Source organism: Homo sapiens, chromosome 14 (genome assembly GCF_000001405.40).
Source record: "Homo sapiens chromosome 14, GRCh38.p14 Primary Assembly".
Classification (NCBI taxonomy): domain Eukaryota; kingdom Metazoa; phylum Chordata; class Mammalia; order Primates; family Hominidae; genus Homo; species Homo sapiens.
In genome coordinates this window covers 73265811-73283987 of record NC_000014.9, presented here as the reverse complement: position 1 = coordinate 73283987, position 18177 = coordinate 73265811, and the positions used below count along the sequence as shown (strand labels likewise).

Sequence of the window (18177 nt, the reverse complement as noted above, 5' to 3'; positions counted from 1 at the left end):
TCCTCTTTCCCTGAGGTTCGTTGATAGTTGTATCTTTTGTCATTTCCCATAGTGGGAAAACTAAGGTCCGTGGAGGGGGATGTGAATCCATAATTTCTCTTCAACAAACAGGCAGCAGAGCCATTGTGGAATTTCTAGCCTAAGCCATAAGATTTGTGGTTTGTCCTGATGTAAGTGCATTCACTGCCTTTCAGCCAACCTGCTCCCAAACATCAAGGGTCTCAAGTTTCTATTCTTATTCTGCCATTGGGACCCAGCAGGGAATTAATTAAAGAGGCCTTAGAAACACATAGCATTACCAGCAGAAGAAATGGATATGTGCTCATTGTCCTTCTGGCTGGTTGGCTCCATAAGGAGGAAACTCTAGACAGGTCTTTCGTGTACATCTAAGATCTGTTGTTCATCACAGACAGTGGACTTGTTCACAAGTATTCATTACCTTTCAGAACCGTCTCACAGGCCTTTGTGTGGCCTCTGTACAGCTATGCCAGCCTCTATAGGTCTATCCTCGTCATAAAATCTGTAGCTAAAGTATTAGATCTGGTCAGTGCTTTTGTTGGGCTCTATTTTACTTCCCTCTGAGACATGTCAAGCCATTGCTATAACAAAATATGAGGAAACTGTCTCAATAGGCCATTCCTACTGATGGTATAAAAGTACAGAGAGTTAAGTTCATCTGACAGATGAAACTAGGCCTAAAGAATAGTTGGACTAGATGATTACGGAGGGTCTTTTCAGTTCTCAGCTGAGGTACCTCATTTCAGTTCAGTCTCCTTCTAGGGCAGACAGGGAATAAAAACTATTATTCTCTTTACAGATGAGCAAACAGAGCTTTAGCACACATAATTAGCTTCCTCAGTGATACAGAAGTATCCTAGAGTCAGTATTAAGAATAAAGGCCCTAGCGTCCTACACCTCTGCTCACTTTTTCATGTTATCATAGATCATATGCTTAGTACTGGAGACTTTGGAGAAAAATGAGATTGATGACATTGTCATAGTTTGTTACAGAGAAAAGCACTAAGCATCCACTAGTGCCCAGACTTGAACCCATTTTCCTGACAGAATTACTAAAGGCTCCAGAACCTAATTCAGATCACAGTCTTGAGAACACGTTGGAAGGCATACAGGTTGCAAATGTCTTCTACAAAGATCTGGCTAGCTGAACATCTTGGCACAAAAAGGACAGATCCTCAACAGTGTTATAAGAAGAAGAAATGAAGAAATTTGGGGATTTGTAAGGGAGGAAGATGTGCCTTAGTACATTAATTGTTGACATTTTATACTTTCCCATCTGAAAAGCCAATGAAATTGTGGCCAGTAAATTTTTTGAAACTGGTTTTGTAGCCCTGCCATACAGTTAATTGAGCCTTTTCTTACATAAGCAGGAGATACAGTATAAAGTGCCAGCTTGCATCATACTGTCAAATTTCAGGATTATTCCATTTTTCTGTCTGGAGCCATTTTCTGTTTGCCTTGCAGTGCCAGAAGTAGAAGGGGAGGCAGAGAGCATCAGCTCCCTGTGCTCACAGATCACCAATGCCTTCAGCACACCTGAGGACCCCTTCTCATCTGCTCCGATGACCAAACCAGTGACAGTGGTGGCACCACAATCTCCTACCTTCCAAGGTTGGTGCCCTCTGACCTGCTCAGCTGTTCTCTTTACAACCAGTACTTTTAGTACACTGCTCACTAACTGTAAGTTGGCATCCTGAGCTTCCCAAGGCCTGGTCAGACCCATTAATTTCTCTATTTGATGTCTTAGATTCATTGATTTCTCCATTCGACGATGTCTTTGTGCCCTTCCTGTTTTCTAAGATGTCTGTGTTTGTCATTCTGCATGTGCCCATCTTTCACCCCATTCTATAAGGAATTTCTGTAGTCCCAACCTACTGCCTTATTTCCCACTTGACTGTTAAGGATCAGCATACCCATCCAGTTTCCCAAAAGCAGTAGTCATCAGAATTGGTTCAAAGGTTATGCTTTCTTTAGTGTAGTGGTTCTCAACTGGGGCAAAGTTTGTCTTTCACTGTCTGGAGACATTTTGGGGCTTTACAAGTTGGGGGTTGGGGGTGTTACTGGCTTGTGGTTAGATGCCAAGAATGCCACTAAACATCCTTCAGTGTAGACGACAGCACCCACAACAAAGGATTATCCAGCCCAAAATGTCAGTGGTGCCAATGTTGAGAAGCCCTGGACTCACCTAGTCTCTGCCCTGTCAAAGAGGCTAATAAAGAAAAAGGCACTCCTTTGAGCTCTTTAGTTCATCTTCTATAACAAGTGTCTTAAAATTTGCCTTTGTGGCATTGAAGAGTTAAAAGTTGTTTTCAGAGATACTGACTAAATAGTGGATATTGACTCAGAGGTCAGCAAAGAATTTATGTAACTTAAGTTACAGACTTGTAGAATTTGAGCTGCTATAATTGCTGTTTCTCCATTTCTTTTGAAAGAGAGCTCAGCGGAAGTTTTACTCCAGAGATAGTGCCCTGCTTCTACTGGAAGAACTACACACTTTTTCTCCAAGGGTCTTTTTCTTTTTCTTTTTAATAAACCTTCATAGTCATGTGTACCAAATGACTTTTCATGTCATCTAACAAACATTTATAATACCGGTAATAATAGGCACCATTTATTGAGCACTTACACATTGCTTGCCACATTGTGGTAGGTATTCATGCATTATTTCATTTAATCCCCACAACAAGCCTGTGAGGTAGGTGTTACAGATGAAAAAAAAAAAAGAGGCTCAGAGAGGATAAGTAAATTGCCCAAATCTTACAGACAGGATTTAAACTCAGGTCCTCCTGAATATAGTACCCGTTACATTCTGCTGATTCTGCCAGCCTACAAGGCACTAAGTGTGCAAAATTGAATATTTCAGTTTCCTTTCCCTGCCTTTAGAGGGCTCCCAGTTTCTAGGTGAAAAAAAAAATTTTTTTGCCACCAAAAAAGCAAAGGCAGTCTTTTAGACAAACTCTAGGTAAACAGTACCAACACCGGCTGGGTGCGGTGGCTCACATCTGTAATCCCAACAGGGAGGCTGAGGCAGGCGGATCACCAGAGGTCAGGAGTTCGAGACCAGCCTAGCCAACATGGTGAAACCTCGTCTCTACTAAAAATACAAAAGTTAGCCGGGCATGGTGGCAGGCACCTATAATCTCAGCTACTCGGGAGGCTGAGGCAGGAGAATTGCTTGAACCTGGGAGCCGGAGGTTGCAGTGAGCCGAGATCACACCATTGCACTCCAGCCTGGGTGACAAGAGCGAGACCCCATCTCAAAAAAAAAAAAAAAAAAAAAAAATAGTACCAACACCATAGGCATGGCTGTCCAGTCCTAAAAAGGATATAATTATATTGTAGGTCAGGGGAGGGTGCTTGTCTACACCAAACTGAATGTTATTGAGAGCTGGGCTAAGGAGAAGAAACTAATATAGGTATCTGGAGTAAAAGGAACAAGGGTTAGCAGATTTTAACAAGGGGAGATGAGGAAAGAATAGTAGGTATGTTGTGATATTGTAAACATCATAGAGGGGGAAAAAAATCTTTGTTAAAAAATGTTCTGTGAGTTACCAGGAGAGTTAAAAAAAAAAAACCTTCAAAAAAAGTTGAAATTAATTGTGTAGCAAATTAGAAATCTATCAAGCAAATGAAAACATACCAACTTCGATTTCTCATCTGTAATAGGGGGATAATACCAGACTCGTAGGGTTTTTGAGATAATTAAATGAAATGATGCATGTAAAATATTAGCTTAATGACTAGCACATAATAACGAATCATATATACATTTTAACTTTTGAGGAGGAAACAAAGAGTAATTTTTTTTTGTTTGAGATGGAGTCTTACTCTGTTGCCCAGGCTGGAGTGCAGTGGTGTGATCTAGGCTCATTGCAACCTCCGCCTCCCGGGTTCAAGTGATTCTCCTGCCTCAGCCTCCCTAGTAGCTAGGTTTACAAGTGCACACTGCCACACCCAGCTAATTTTTGTATTTTTAGTAGAGACGGGGTTTCGCCACGTTGGCCAGGCTGGTCTCGAACTCCTGACCTCAGGTGATCCACCCACCTCGGCCTCCCAAAGTGCTGGGATTACAGGCGTGAGCCACCACACCTGGCCTATTTTTAACCAGTATTATTGTTAACATAATCTGACCTTTTGGAAAAGTGAAGAAGAGGGAAATGCTATACCTACTTCATTATGCCGAAGGCTAAGCTATATCTAGAATAGTTAGATATTTTTTGCTGCTCCTAAGACGCAGCAGCTCTGTTCACCTTAATTTGAAATTGTTTTCGTAGGTTTCATTTCCCCACTCCCCATGCACATATTTTCCTAGAACAGTTATTTGACTTTATCTATACAACCATTTAAAAATTACAATCTCTGATTGCTTCTTTGCCTAATGGTATGTACATCCAATGCAAGATATCATGGTTTTCCCAAACATCAACTCTTCTCTCTTATCCATTCCACCAGTATTGTACATTCACCTGACTGACACAGCTCCAAGGGGTCACTTGTACACCCTGCATGAATTAACTCCATTGATGTTGTCTGCTCCCGTTGTAGCTAATGGCACTGACTCAGCCTTCCATGTGCTTGCTAAGCCAGCCCATACTGCTCTAGCACCCGTAGCAATGCCTGTGCGTGAAACCAACCCTTGGGCCCATGCCCCTGATGCTGCTAACAAGGAAATTGCAGCCACATGTTCGGGTAAGGTGGCCACAGATGGTGTTGAGGATTCTGGGATCAGATAAGTGACCCTGGTTCTAAAACTCAGCCAGTTAGCTGAGTGGGAACTAGGGAGGAATCCTTTCAGGAAAACTATGTTCCCTCCTAGAAATAAGTTGCTTACATAAGAAAGGATGGTGAAGGAGAACAAAAGAGATCAGACTGATAGTCATTAGGACTGTGGAACAGGACTGTGGAACAGAGCCCCACCCATAGAGCTTTTATAAAATACAGATTCCGGCTGGGTGTGTTGGCACATGCCTGTAATCCCAGCACTTTGGGAGGCTGAGGTGGGTGGATCACGAGGTCAGGAGATGGAGACCATCCTGGCCAACATGGTGAAACCATCTCTACTAAAAATACAAAAATTAGCCAGGCGCGGTGGCATGCGCATATAGTCCCAGCTACTCAGGAGGCCGAGGCAGGAGAATCGCTTGAACCTGGGAGACAGAGTTTGCCGTGAGCCAAGATTGCGCCACTGCACTCCAGCCTGGGCAACAGAGCAATACTCTGTCTCAAAAAAAAAAAAAAAAAAAAAAAAGATTCCAGGGCCCCACCTCAGAGAATCCATCACCGGATTTGGTGATGTGCAGACATTCCTGTAGAAAGAGGGGGCCCTGCTCCTACAATAGGAGGCCTACAAAAAGTGCTAGAAAAAGCACTTCATTTTTGCTTTTTTGTACTTTCTAGTTTTGTATAAAAAACATCTATTAATTATAAAACCAAAAAGTTTTTTTTTTTTGGAGGTGGAGTATTGTTCTGTCACCCAGGCTGGAATGCAGTGGCATGATCTTGGCTCACTGCAACCTCCATCTCTCAGGTTCAAGCAACTCTCCTGCCTCAGCCTCCCGAGTAGCTGGGACTACAGGTGCATGCCACCATGCCCAACCAATTTTTGTATTTTTAGTAGAAATGGGGTGTCACCATGTTGGCCAGGCTGTTTTCGAACTCCTGACCTCGTGATCCACCCGCCTTGGCCTCCAAAAGTGCCGGGATTACAGGTGTGAGCCACCACACCCGGCCTCAAAAGGTTTTAACATAGTAATAAAGGCAGTTCACCAAAAAGACAACATATTTCTGGAAGCCAGGCAGAGGCCAGCAAGATATGGCCAGGTCACTGGTTATTTTCTTTTTGCTCTGTTAGAGCAGAAGATGAATTGCCTTGGGCCCTTTAGAGGATGTGCAAGCTAGGTGTTTTTTTTTTTTTTTTTTTTTTTGAGACGGAGTCTCGCTGTGTCACTAGGCTGGAGTATCTTGGTTCACTGCACCCTCTGCCTCTCAGGTTCAAGCAACTCTCTTGCCTCAGCCTCCCGAGTAGCTGGGACTACAGATGCATACCACCACGCCCAGCTAATTTTTGTATTTTTAGTAGAGACGGGGTTTCACCATGTTGGCCAGGATAGTCTCGATCTCTTGACCTCAGGTGATCTGCCCACCTCGGCCTCCCAAAGTGCTGGGATTACAGGCATAAGCCACTGCACGTGGCCTTTTTTTTTTTTTAAGACAGAATTCTCACTGTGTTGCCCAGGCCAGAGTGCAGTGGCACAGTCATAGCTCACTGCAGCCTCCAGCTCTTGGGCTCAAGTAGTCCTCCTGCCTCAGCCTCACAAGTAGCTGGGATTACAGGTGTGAGCTACCACAACCAGCTAGTTTCTGTATTGTGGATGAGCCATAGCAACAGCGAGGGGTTTCTGACATCAGTCAGCTGCCGTGGTTTAATGCATTTGAGCCATATCTAGACAGTGCTTCAGTGTGGCTGACACAGCAGCATGGTCTTGACAAGTTTTCTTCATCCTACCACAAAATCCCAGTTGGTAATAGAGACTTTACTCCTACCTATCAAAACCACAAAATGTCCCATTAGGGGGGGACATGTTGTACATGTTAGGATCATTCAAATAACCAAGATTATAAGGTGAGGAAAGATGCCCCTAACTGATTCTTTTGTCTCTCATCTTGTTGGTTCCAGGGACCGAGTGGGGTCAATCTTCTGGTGCTGCCTCTCCAGGTCTCTTCCAGGCCGGTCATAGACGTACTCCCTCTGAGGCCGACCGATGGTTAGAAGAGGTGTCTAAGAGCGTCCGGGCTCAGCAGCCCCAGGCCTCAGCTGCTCCTCTGCAGCCAGTTCTCCAGCCTCCTCCACCCACTGCCATCTCCCAGCCAGCATCACCTTTCCAAGGGAATGCATTCCTCACCTCTCAGCCTGTGCCAGTGGGTGTGGTCCCAGCCCTGCAACCAGCCTTTGTCCCTGCCCAGTCCTATCCTGTGGCCAATGGAATGCCCTATCCAGCCCCTAATGTGCCTGTGGTGGGCATCACTCCCTCCCAGATGGTGGCCAACGTATTTGGCACTGCAGGCCACCCTCAGGCTGCCCATCCCCATCAGTCACCCAGCCTGGTCAGGCAGCAGACATTCCCTCACTACGAGGCAAGCAGTGCTACCACCAGTCCCTTCTTTAAGCCTCCTGCTCAGCACCTCAACGGTTCTGCAGCTTTCAATGGTGTAGATGATGGCAGGTTGGCCTCAGCAGACAGGCATACAGAGGTTCCTACAGGCACCTGCCCAGTGGATCCTTTTGAAGCCCAGTGGGCTGCATTAGAAAATAAGTCCAAGCAGCGTACTAATCCCTCCCCTACCAACCCTTTCTCCAGTGACTTACAGAAGACGTTTGAAATTGAACTTTAAGCAATCATTATGGCTATGTATCTTGTCCATACCAGACAGGGAGCAGGGGGTAGCGGTCAAAGGAGCAAAACAGACTTTGTCTCCTGATTAGTACTCTTTTCACTAATCCCAAAGGTCCCAAGGAACAAGTCCAGGCCCAGAGTACTGTGAGGGGTGATTTTGAAAGACATGGGAAAAAGCATTCCTAGAGAAAAGCTGCCTTGCAATTAGGCTAAAGAAGTCAAGGAAATGTTGCTTTCTGTACTCCCTCTTCCCTTACCCCCTTACAAATCTCTGGCAACAGAGAGGCAAAGTATCTGAACAAGAATCTATATTCCAAGCACATTTACTGAAATGTAAAACACAACAGGAAGCAAAGCAATCTCCCTTTGTTTTTCAGGCCATTCACCTGCCTCCTGTCAGTAGTGGCCTGTATTAGAGATCAAGAAGAGTGGTTTGTGCTCAGGCTGGGGAACAGAGAGGCACGCTATGCTGCCAGAATTCCCAGGAGGGCATATCAGCAACTGCCCAGCAGAGCTATATTTTGGGGGAGAAGTTGAGCTTCCATTTTGAGTAACAGAATAAATATTATATATATCAAAAGCCAAAATCTTTATTTTTATGCATTTAGAATATTTTAAATAGTTCTCAGATATTAAGAAGTTGTATGAGTTGTAAGTAATCTTGCCAAAGGTAAAGGGGCTAGTTGTAAGAAATTGTACATAAGATTGATTTATCATTGATGCCTACTGAAATAAAAAGAGGAAAGGCTGGAAGCTGCAGACAGGATCCCTAGCTTGTTTTCTGTCAGTCATTCATTGTAAGTAGCACATTGCAACAACAATCATGCTTATGACCAATACAGTCACTAGGTTGTAGTTTTTTTTAAATAAAGGAAAAGCAGTATTGTCCTGGTTTTAAACCTATGATGGAATTCTAATGTCATTATTTTAATGGAATCAATCGAAATATGCTCTATAGAGAATATATCTTTTATATATTGCTGCAGTTTCCTTATGTTAATCCTTTAACACTAAGGTAACATGACATAATCATACCATAGAAGGGAACACAGGTTACCATATTGGTTTGTAATATGGGTCTTGGTGGGTTTTGTTTTATCCTTTAAATTTTGTTCCCATGAGTTTTGTGGGGATGGGGATTCTGGTTTTATTAGCTTTGTGTGTGTCCTCTTCCCCCAAACCCCCTTTTGGTGAGAACATCCCCTTGACAGTTGCAGCCTCTTGACCTCGGATAACAATAAGAGAGCTCATCTCATTTTTACTTTTGAACGTTGGCCTTACAATCAAATGTAAGTTATATATATTTGTACTGATGAAAATTTATAATCTGCTTTAACAAAAATAAATGTTCATGGTAGAAGCTTTTGCCCATGAAGGGCTGTTCTTTCCCCTTTCCTTTATTAGTAAATGAATTTATTTTTCGTTCTTTTGGTCTTACTCTCCATTCTACTGCTGCTGTAAATCCCTAGTTTAGTGACTAGAAAAATACCCTTAAGATTCATATTTTCATTCATACTTTAATCCTGAGTGTATCTCTAAAGTCAGATTCTTGCTGCTCAAAGTGTGGTCTGTAACAGCAGCATGGACTTCACCTAGGAGCTGGTTAGAAATGCAGAATCTCAGCGGGGTGGGGCAGTGCTTCTCAACCTGGGCTATGCAATAGAATCACCTGAGGATATCTTTTTAAAATCCTAACGCCTGGCCTATATTCCAGACCAATTAAATCAAAATTTTAGTGGGGCAGGGGGACCCCCCAGGTTGTGTTTTTTTTTTTTAAGCTCGCAATATGGTAAAGTTGAGAACCACTGGCCTAGAATGAGTTTTACCTCTAATCTTAGCCCACTATTCTGTGACTGGTTCTATTAGAACTAGTTAGCTGCTAGCTAACCTCAAACTTACCTTCTGATGTGTTTATACCAATAGGCCAAAATCTGGTTTAATTAAACTGGGGATTTCAAAAAAGTGGCCTTTATTTTCCAATTTCTATAGCAAAACCAGCCATAAGTGAACATGGATGCTCTTCAATATTTTTCCAGTATTAAATGAAAAAAGACCTCTGCCCCAGCCCACATTTCCTTTGTTGAATGAGTAGAGAAGACTGAGAAGTATCACTCACCCGTGATGTGGTTTGTCCCTTTTCCAGCCAGTGTGTTGGTAATAAAAGTCACCTTTCAGAGCTTTGGTCCCTGTAATGCCCGTCTTTCCTGTGTCCAGGAATAACCTTTGCTACTAGGCAGTCCTCTGAAAGATTTGTAGAAGGTTAAAGTGGAAAGGGACTTGGAAGCTCATAGAATCCATGCCTCTTCTTTTAGCATCAAGGAATTAGAAGTCCTGAGAGATGAAGAATGTTGTCTTCCAACTCAAACCATTTCTGAAGCCATTTCCCTGTTACTGCATTGCCCACAACCCTTCCCCATTGCTATCCTCATCCTGCTAATGCTGTTTTTAATGACTGACAGTCTGATTTGTCTTTGGCAGCAAACATTTTGCTTCACAGATTCCTACTTAAGGAAGAGAGGGGCTCCTCATTGTCACTGTACAGAGCAGGCTGGTCAGCTTTACACAGGTGTCAGATGAACCGTCACAGCCAGATTTGCATGTTGGCCTCAGGAGGGCTTCAAGGTCCAACATCTCGACGTAAGGAGCGTTTCCAGTTCTTTCATGCTCAGATAACAGTGCTAACTGCAGCTGTTTCATCCCAAATCCCTATTTGAGGTCTTAACATCTATTCCATTTTGCCAACAAGGGTTATGCTGTTAACCCTCTGCACCAGATTTAGAGCTGACTGATGCACTGCCTAGAAGGGTGAGAGAGACTAGAGCAATGAACCATCGCTGATTTTAGCACAGAATACTTCCCTGATACAGCAGGACTTGGCATGCCCTTTAGAAAACAAACAGGTGTTAACTTTGAAATCATTACACATCTCCCTGCCCAGCTTTAAATTAAGTGGAACCCTGACAGCTAGCTTTAAAACACATTGATGGGCTGGGCACAGTGGCTCACACCTCTAATCCCAGCATTTTGGGAGGCCGAGGCGGGCGGATTACCTGAGGTCGGGAGTTCAAGACCAGTCTGACCAACATGGAGAAACCCCGTCTCTACTAAAAATACAAAATTAGCCAGGCATGGTGGCACATACCTGTAATCCCAGCTACTCAGGAGGCTGAGGCTGGAGAAGCGCTTGAACCCAGGAGGTGGAGGTTGCAGTGAGCCAAGATCGCACCATTGTACTCCAGCCTGGGCAAGAAGTGCGAAACTCTGTCTCAAAAAAAAAATAAAAAAAATGCATTGATGGCTGGGCGTGGTGGCTCATGCCTGTAATCCCAGCACTTTGGGAGGCTGAGGCGGGCAGATCATCTGAGGTCAGAAGTTCGAGACCAGCCTGGCCAACATGGTGAAACCCCATCTCAACTAAAAATACAAAAATTACCCAGGCATGGTGATAGGCATCTGTAATCCTAGCTACTCAGAAGGCTGACACAGGAGAATCAAGAACCCAGGAGACGGAGGTTGCAGTGAGCTGAGATCGCGCCATTGCCCTCCAGCCTGGGCAACAAGAGTGAAACTCTGTCTCAAAAAACAAACAAACAAATGCATTTAACTATTCCTGTGTAACAAATTATAAAGGGAAGCTGTAAAGTAAAGGTTTTTCTTATCCAAACAGATTGCTCTTCTTGAAAACAGCAGCCTGTGGTTATGTCAGAGATGCAAACACTGCTGAAGGCTACAGAGAGAAGCTGGTAACTGGCTGCCGTTGAGGCTAAACACTGGGTGGGTTTTTGAAAGAGCTAATGTATTCCAGAAGATAACTCCCTTTGCCAGCCAGAGAGAGGAAGCCAAGAGTCCATCTTCCTTTCTCCCTAGCCCTATGAACTATTTTGGACTGGGGCTGGAACTAGCCTTCATCCCTACTGCCAGATGGGCTGAGCGTGAGGCTGGAAACGTGAACAGCTGGCACAGCAGAAGCTGGAGTAATACTCATTGCCACAAAGCTGGGCCTGCAGGATCAAATCACAGTTGGCCAGCTCTGGCTGGTCGACGCAGTCCCTGCCAGGGTCCCTGGGCTGGGCGGTGGGTGCTGCAGAACGACAGGGGAGAGAGAAGGTGGTGAGGAAGCTCTGTGTATGCTGAAAATTCTCACCTGCCATTTCATTTCCTTCAAAGGAACACAGCATTATAACTGCCAGATTGAAAACGAAGTGCACTTACCCTGTAACCTTTTAACCATACGTACAAACTCTATGAGGGATGATGATTTCTACCTGTTTCTTGGCCTCACTTCAACATGCAGTGGTCCTCCCATTATTATTTGTGGCCTCAGCCCACTGAATAGCTCTTCCTAGACTCCCAAATATTTATTGACTGGATAATTAAACATCTCTTGAAGTTAACTCCTTATGTTTGAGACCTGAATTACTAAATGACAACTGTTCTTGCCTCTGGATTGGGAGAGCAGGTAGGATCAGCCCCAAGTAAAATTTTGAGTTAGCAAGAGCTCTTATCTTTTCCCTTTCTCTGCTGGGTTCCTCCAACCATCAAAGTTTTGTCCCTTCAATATCACCAGCTTATCTTAGTCACCTGGGTCCTCATCCTTCCAGTTTTTCACTTTCCCCAGAGGAAGCAATGCATATTAGACAAGGTAATAGGAAAACAGTCCTGTTAACGGTGGCTCTAATACTAACTACACTGAGAACAAAGCAAAGCCCTTGTTTTCTCTCCCTCTGAATTTACTAGGAACGTCTGTATCTCATAACTCCCTATTAAGTTTCATTCAGCTGGGTGTGGTGGCTCATGCCTGTAATCCCAGCACTTTGGGAGGCCAAGGCGGGCGGATCACGAGGTCAGGAGTTTGAGACCAGCCTGGCCAATATGGTGAAACCCCATCTCTACTAAAAATGCAAAAATTAGCCAGGCATGGTGGCGTGCCCCTGTAGTCCCAGCTACTCGGGAAGCTGAGGCAGAAGAATCGCTTGAACCCAGGAGGCAGAGGTTACAGTGAGCTGAGACCACACCACTGCACTCCAGCCTGGGTGACAGAGCAAGATTCTGTCTTAAAAAAAAAAAAAAAATTTCATTCTACTGCTTCATCTCTCTTCTGGAAGGGGTTCTTAAAACTCAGCTGACTTAGACCAGAGTGGTACCTTCCCTGAAGTCAGACCTCAAGCAGCCAGAGAAAGCTTATCTTTCTCTCTCCCCTTGTTTACTCACAAAATACCACTAAAAGACTGTACCTAGCAGCGAACAACCTTACAAACGTTTGGTATATTGGTATAACCAGACTATTACCTACCTAAATTTATATAGATAACAAAGCCATTAATGCATATTGTTTCTAAAAATCTGTAACTTTGGTATCAACTCTGAGCTGGTACAGCCCAAGACCCATCATAGTGGGAACTCAGCATAGTGATTAAGCACACCAGCTCTGGACCCATACTGCCCGGGCTCAATCCGGGCTCTGCCACTTGCCAGCTGGGTAACTCTGGGCAAGTTGCTTAAGCCCTTTATGCACATTTCTTCATCTGTGAAATGGGACTAATAACAGCAACAGCAACCTACTTCACAGCGATGTTGAGAAGTCCTCCCAGTAGAGCTATGTCCCTTTTACCTCAGCCTGACCACCCCAAGGCCTCCTACCCTGGTGCTAACACTGAAATTCAATGTGCCACCCAACCATGAGTAGGGCAGGGTCAGGCAGCCGCACACCGTATGACCCAACAAAAAATGAACAGGTGAGAGCAGCCAGCAGAGGACCGGAGGAGAGTGGCCAGACTGAGGCCATGTCTGTCCCATCTGGGACACACATCTCAGGCCATTTCAGCGTGGTGACCAGGTATCAGGCAAGTTTCTCATTGTAGTTTGGTTTTCCATGTAATCCCATCTGGAGCTAATCGCAAACATAATGTCTAGGTCCTCTTGACAGTTCTCTCACTGTGAATCTGCATTTTGCTTTGTCACACAGCCTTGATTTGGTTATTATGTAGACAAGGTCAATTTTCTGGACATGATACAGGTGAAAAGTAGTCCCTGGAGTGTGGTGCTTTCGCCAATGTAACTCCATCATTGTGCAGGCAGGCACTTAGTCACCATGTATCTGAGTGTCGCGGCTTTTGTAGCTGGGTGAGCAGGAGGGAATGGAGGGAAGAACGAGTTTTAACGCTCCCGTTCACCGAGCTGCGAGCGGCGGGAACATTTGTCCCTGTAACACCCCCTTGGGGCTCCGCGGTTGCTGGCATCTCCGAGTTTTCGGGCGCCACCATGTTCCCCTTGTCTATACGTTAGCACCCAGTGCGGAAGCCGCCTGTGCCGTGCGCTGAGCGCGGGGCCGCCACGAGTGCGGGATCCGGGTCAGCGGAGCGCAGCCTGCCCGGCCAAGTGGGCGGAGCGAGACGGTGGGCCGAGCGAGGCCCCGGACAGAGGTCAAGGCGGCGGGCTGGCGAAGCGGCAGGAAGGAACCCTGTAACCCTCCCTCCCGCTCGCCGAGCAACAGGTGAGAAAAAAGCCGCTGGACAACATTTCCAGCCACAACATGAGCACCTAGTGATGCCAAGCACTGAGCTGGGCCCTGGGGAGGCGATCTCTAAAGAGATCATAGACAGGAAGCCGACAAGTCAGTCCCACTCACAAAGCAACATTTCAGCCAGACCTTCAACTTCTAGTACTGGCCAGTCTCCACCCTCAGCCTGGCAGCCAGGAAGCAGCCAGGCCTGCCCCTCTGAGTGTAACCGTGCTCCTGGCATGGCGCTGCAGCCCTGATTGTCAGGAATGCCCAGAAGACCAGGCAGGAAGGGCCCTGGCACCTCCGAGCCTGGCATACTCCCCCAAGGTCTGTATCAGGCCTGTGAGAATTGGCAGCTTGGCCCGAGGTACCACTCTGTCTTCAGTCCCTCCGTGAACAAGAACCAAGGACACAAGGAAGCACAGGCTGGGGGACGAGCAAAGCCCTGTCCCCCTTTCCCTCCTGCTTATTTGAACATATCTCTTGTAAGTGTGAACTCTGAACCACAATCTGTTTCATCAGTTCTGATATGCACTTATTTTCACATCTCTCAAGTTGGTTTGCATCCTAATTGATGGTATCAGAATTGTGTCGTTTCACTGGCAGCATTTTTTTCTTGGTACAAAAATAATGCATCTTACAGGCAATTTGGATTTGTTGAAGTATGATAGAGTAGTAGCTAGAGGAGGTAAGGCTACAATATCAAATATCAAATGATGCAAGTAAGATTCCACTTAGGTACAAGTATAGTAATTTCGTGGGGGTAAAAAAAAAAAAACATGGGGAGTCAAAAGACATGGGCTCTAGTCCCAGGTAGGCCACATTTGCGGTGTGACCGGTGGAAACACCACTTACGCTCTCTGCATACCTGTCTCATTTGTAAAATGGTGATGATAATCCCTGCCCTTTCCTTTCTGGGTTATATGGTCAAACGGCCATAAAGTGGCCAGATTTTAGTGGTTTAGAGTGGATTAGAGTGGACAGATTTTAGTGGTCTGCCTTAAGTTTTAAGTTTTATAATGAAATTCCAGTCAGTCATATGTCTCAAAATCGGTGAGTCTGAATGTCCTGCATGCATTAATGTCTATTAAGCTATCTCCAGGGGCCCAGCAGAGCATCATTTCCTTCATCTCCACTACAGCCCTCTCAGGTGGTGGAGCAGCCCCACTGTAGACGGGAGGAAAATGAGGCTCAGGAAGGTAAGCCCCTTGCCCCAAGTCACACTACCAGCAACTGGCAGGGTGAGCCAGGATTCAAACCAGAGTCCCTCAGACTGCAGAGCCAGCCCTTGAGAACCAGTAAATCTACTGGGGAATGTCCTTCCCATCCCCGGATATAGACCTTTCCTACCTGGTGAGACCACCTTCACCTCGGTGCTGCGGCTGACTGCCTGGCTCCCCTGGTAGGCACTGCACGTGTAGGAGCCCTCATCCCTGGCCCGCAAGTTGTAAATGAGCAGCGTGCCATCTGGGGACTGGTGGACACGGTGGCCATCAGCCTGCACAGGTAGCCCGTTCCTGGAGGAGAGAGGACACTGGGAGAGCCATCAAGGGCCTCTGGAGGTCTGGGAGACAGAGGGAAGAGGTAATCAAAGGCCATTCCAGAGCCAACCGTTCCCACCCCTTGAGAGCAAACAGGTGGAGGACAGGGAGAAATCAAGAATGACCAAGGTTTCTAGGTTGGGTTACTGGGTGATGATGGTGCCCCTCCAACCTTGGGAGATCCAAGGCTGGGGTGAATGGCGAGGTTGTTTTCTGCTATTTCAAATTTGGGGTGCCTGTGAGATAGCAGGAGGCCTCAGATTTGAAGTCTGGAGCTCAAGAGTCCAGACCCAGATAGTGTGTCAGCATCGCACTGACGCAGCGAAGTGCATGTCTATGAGGTGGTCCAAGTCACACGGGGAGAAACCAAGGACAGGCCCTGAGGCACAGCAGAAGACAGTAGTTCCTGGAGCAGAGGGAAGGGAGAATTTCAAGAAGGAGCATACGGCAAGCAGAACGACACTACAGGTCACGTAAAGACTGCAAGGTGTCCAGTGGAGTTAGGGAGAGAGGCAGTGACCTTGGCCAGGACAGTGTCCTGGAACAGGGGCTGACATGCGGCCCCACTGCAGGCCCTGAGAAGTGAGTAGGGAGATGAACAGGCAGAGGCAACCAACATGGACAGCTGTAAAGGGGACACTATGTCAGCATAGGGTCTGCAGGGACATAGAGGCTCAATGGAAGGTGGTTGTGAAGAGGGGAGTTCTATGCATGTTTGCTGCTGGAAAGATCCAGGAGAGGCCAACATGGAGAAGCAGGCCTGACAGGCTGATCAGGGGATGGCTGGACTGAGCACACCAGTGGGGACACCTCTAGCGGCTCCCACCGCCTTCCCTGGGCTCAAGGCCACACAAGACACAGATGCCCTCCGCAATCGCGTCACCTCTCCCAGCCAGTGCACAGGCCGGTTCCTATCCTGGTGTCCTTTCTCAAATGCCCACCTTTGGCACTTGCTGCTTCCTCTACCAAGAACATCCTTTGCCATCCTTAGCTATTAAGGTGCAGCCAAAGTCATTTCCTGGCCCTCTTCCTTGACACTCCTCTGTGCACAGACAGCAGTTGCAACAAAACACATCTGGAGCTCCTGGGACACTGGGCCATCTGCCCGGGAGTACTCTGGGGGCTCAGGTGACCCCAGGATCCCCAGAACCTAGCCTAGTCCTGACACATTACAGGGAAGGAGGAGGCAAAAAATGGCTGCTAAATGAATGGACAAATATAAAACCAATTGATCTAGGGTAAAAGACCACCAAAGTCCCCAAAGCTGAGTGTAGTCCAGTGGTTCACAGCTCCAGGAGAGATTTTGCCACCAGGGGACATTTGGCAGTGGGTCTGGAGCCATTCTTTATTGTCATGACTTTGGGGAGGGTGCCCCTGGCATCTAGTGGGTAGATGCCCTGGATGCTGCTAAACATCCTGCAAAGCACAGGACAGCCCTCAGCAACCAAAACTTACCAGCTCCAAACTGTCAGCAGTGCTGAGGTTAGGAAACCTTAGTGTAGCCCAACCAGCAGAGAGCCAGTGGCCCTACAGAGCTTTGCTCTGTAGGGATGAGGGTGCTGCAGCCCTCTCCCCTGGCACCAGGCCTGGAAGCCGGAATGGAAGCAGTGGTGACAGTGACATCCCTGGCAGAAAGGTGGACACCCACACCTGAGGTTGTGAAGGTCTGGGGACAGGGACAACTTGGAATAGAGCCTTTACCTGGACCACCTGATGTTCACACTTTCTCCTGCTACCACACACAATAGCCTGGCCGTATCACCCTCTGGCACTGTCACAGTAGGGGGCAGTCCTGAGATTGTCAGCTCCCCTGGGCACAAGGACAAGTCATTGTCAGCCACTATGAAGATCCTGCCCTACCCATGCCACCTGACCTCAAAGGCCACTCAGGACTGCCACTTTACCCAGAACTCTGAGCTGGACCCATCGCTGGTCTCGGTCCTGCCCATTGAAAGCGACACAGGTGTAGAAGCCGCCATCTTCTACAGCCACTCGGCTAATGACCAGGGAGCCATCAGGCTGCAGCTGGTGTCTGGGGACCAAGTACAGCCAGTTGGCTCCAGCCCAAGGAGCCTCCCCTCTCCTCCAGCTCCGTCCCTCGAGCATGGGGTCAGGGAGGGAACACAAGGTCTTCTAGGTCCCTGGTGAGAGGCTAAGCATCCCCTAGTGTTTGGTGGGGTCTGACAGAAGGACCATTTGGCCTCAGACTTTACACCTGCAGCTGCTGGCGCTTTCGGTGGTGCGATCTCAGCTCACTGCAACCTCTGCCACCCAGGTTCAAGCAATTCTCCCTCAGCCTCCCGAGTAGCTGGGATTACAGGCATGTGCCACCACGCCTGGCTATTTTTGTATTTTTAGTAGAGATGGGGTTTCAGCATCTTGGACAGGCTGGTCTTGAACTCCTGACCTCGTGATCCACCCCCGTCTCGGCCTCCTATAGTGCTGGGATTACAGGCGTGAGCCACTGCGACTGGCCGAAAATGTCTGGCTTTTAAGCTTAACTGTATAAACCATTTCAAGTTTTCTGATACAAAATTTCGGTTTGGGTTTCTAGTTTTTGCTATACTCATTTAATGGGCTCAAATACTGGTTCTGCTGCTTATAAGCTGTGTGATGTTAAGCTTCTGTGTGTAAAATGGGGGGAAAACAGCACCTGCTCAATATGGCTTTTTTGCAGGTCACGTGATAGAGCACAAGCCTCATACTCAGTGCCTGCTCAGTA

The 18177-nt window shown here is 46.7% G+C and overlaps 2 protein-coding genes across 20 annotated transcripts in view, besides 1 other annotated feature; one reads left to right on the top strand and one right to left on the bottom strand.

Moving 5' to 3' along the window:
• Positions 1-8772, top strand: part of NUMB (NUMB endocytic adaptor protein) — a 183331-nt gene extending 174559 nt beyond the window's left edge. For 3 of the 5 annotated variants that reach the window (NM_001005745.2, NM_001005744.2, NM_001320114.2), the window contains 2 exons: positions 1483-1629; positions 6695-8772. In NM_001005745.2, the coding sequence (NP_001005745.1) occupies positions 1483-1629; positions 6695-7410 (863 nt within the window). In that variant the 3' untranslated portion in view covers positions 7411-8772. Of the gene's footprint in view, positions 1-1482; positions 1630-4563; positions 4708-6694 lie in introns of all 5 variants that reach the window. The other 2 variants (NM_003744.6, NM_001005743.2) reach the window with 1 other exon arrangement.
• Positions 6960-7460: an enhancer, noted in NCBI's record as "H3K4me1 hESC enhancer chr14:73743236-73743736 (GRCh37/hg19 assembly coordinates)". NCBI's record gives its function as "activates a minimal SCP1, AML or CMV promoter by ChIP-STARR-seq in naive H9 embryonic stem cells {active_cell/tissue: H9 hESC(naive)}" and the evidence as "EXISTENCE:reporter gene assay evidence [ECO:0000049][PMID:30033119]".
• Positions 9365-18177, bottom strand: part of PAPLN (papilin, proteoglycan like sulfated glycoprotein) — a 38819-nt gene continuing 30006 nt past the window's right edge. For 10 of the 15 annotated variants that reach the window (NR_158678.2, XM_011537292.4, XM_011537291.4 and 7 more), the window contains 4 exons: positions 17360-17487; positions 17157-17265; positions 15265-15431; positions 9365-11493 (listed from right to left, as the gene is read on the bottom strand). Coding sequence is in view for 13 of the 15 variants with exons in the window: in XM_011537292.4 (XP_011535594.1) it covers positions 11324-11493; positions 15265-15431; positions 17157-17265; positions 17360-17487 (574 nt within the window). In the remaining 2 variants the exon portion in view is untranslated. Of the gene's footprint in view, positions 11494-15264; positions 15479-17156; positions 17266-17359; positions 17488-18177 lie in introns of those variants that run through there. The other 5 variants (XM_047431874.1, XM_047431873.1, XM_011537293.4 and 2 more) reach the window with 4 other exon arrangements.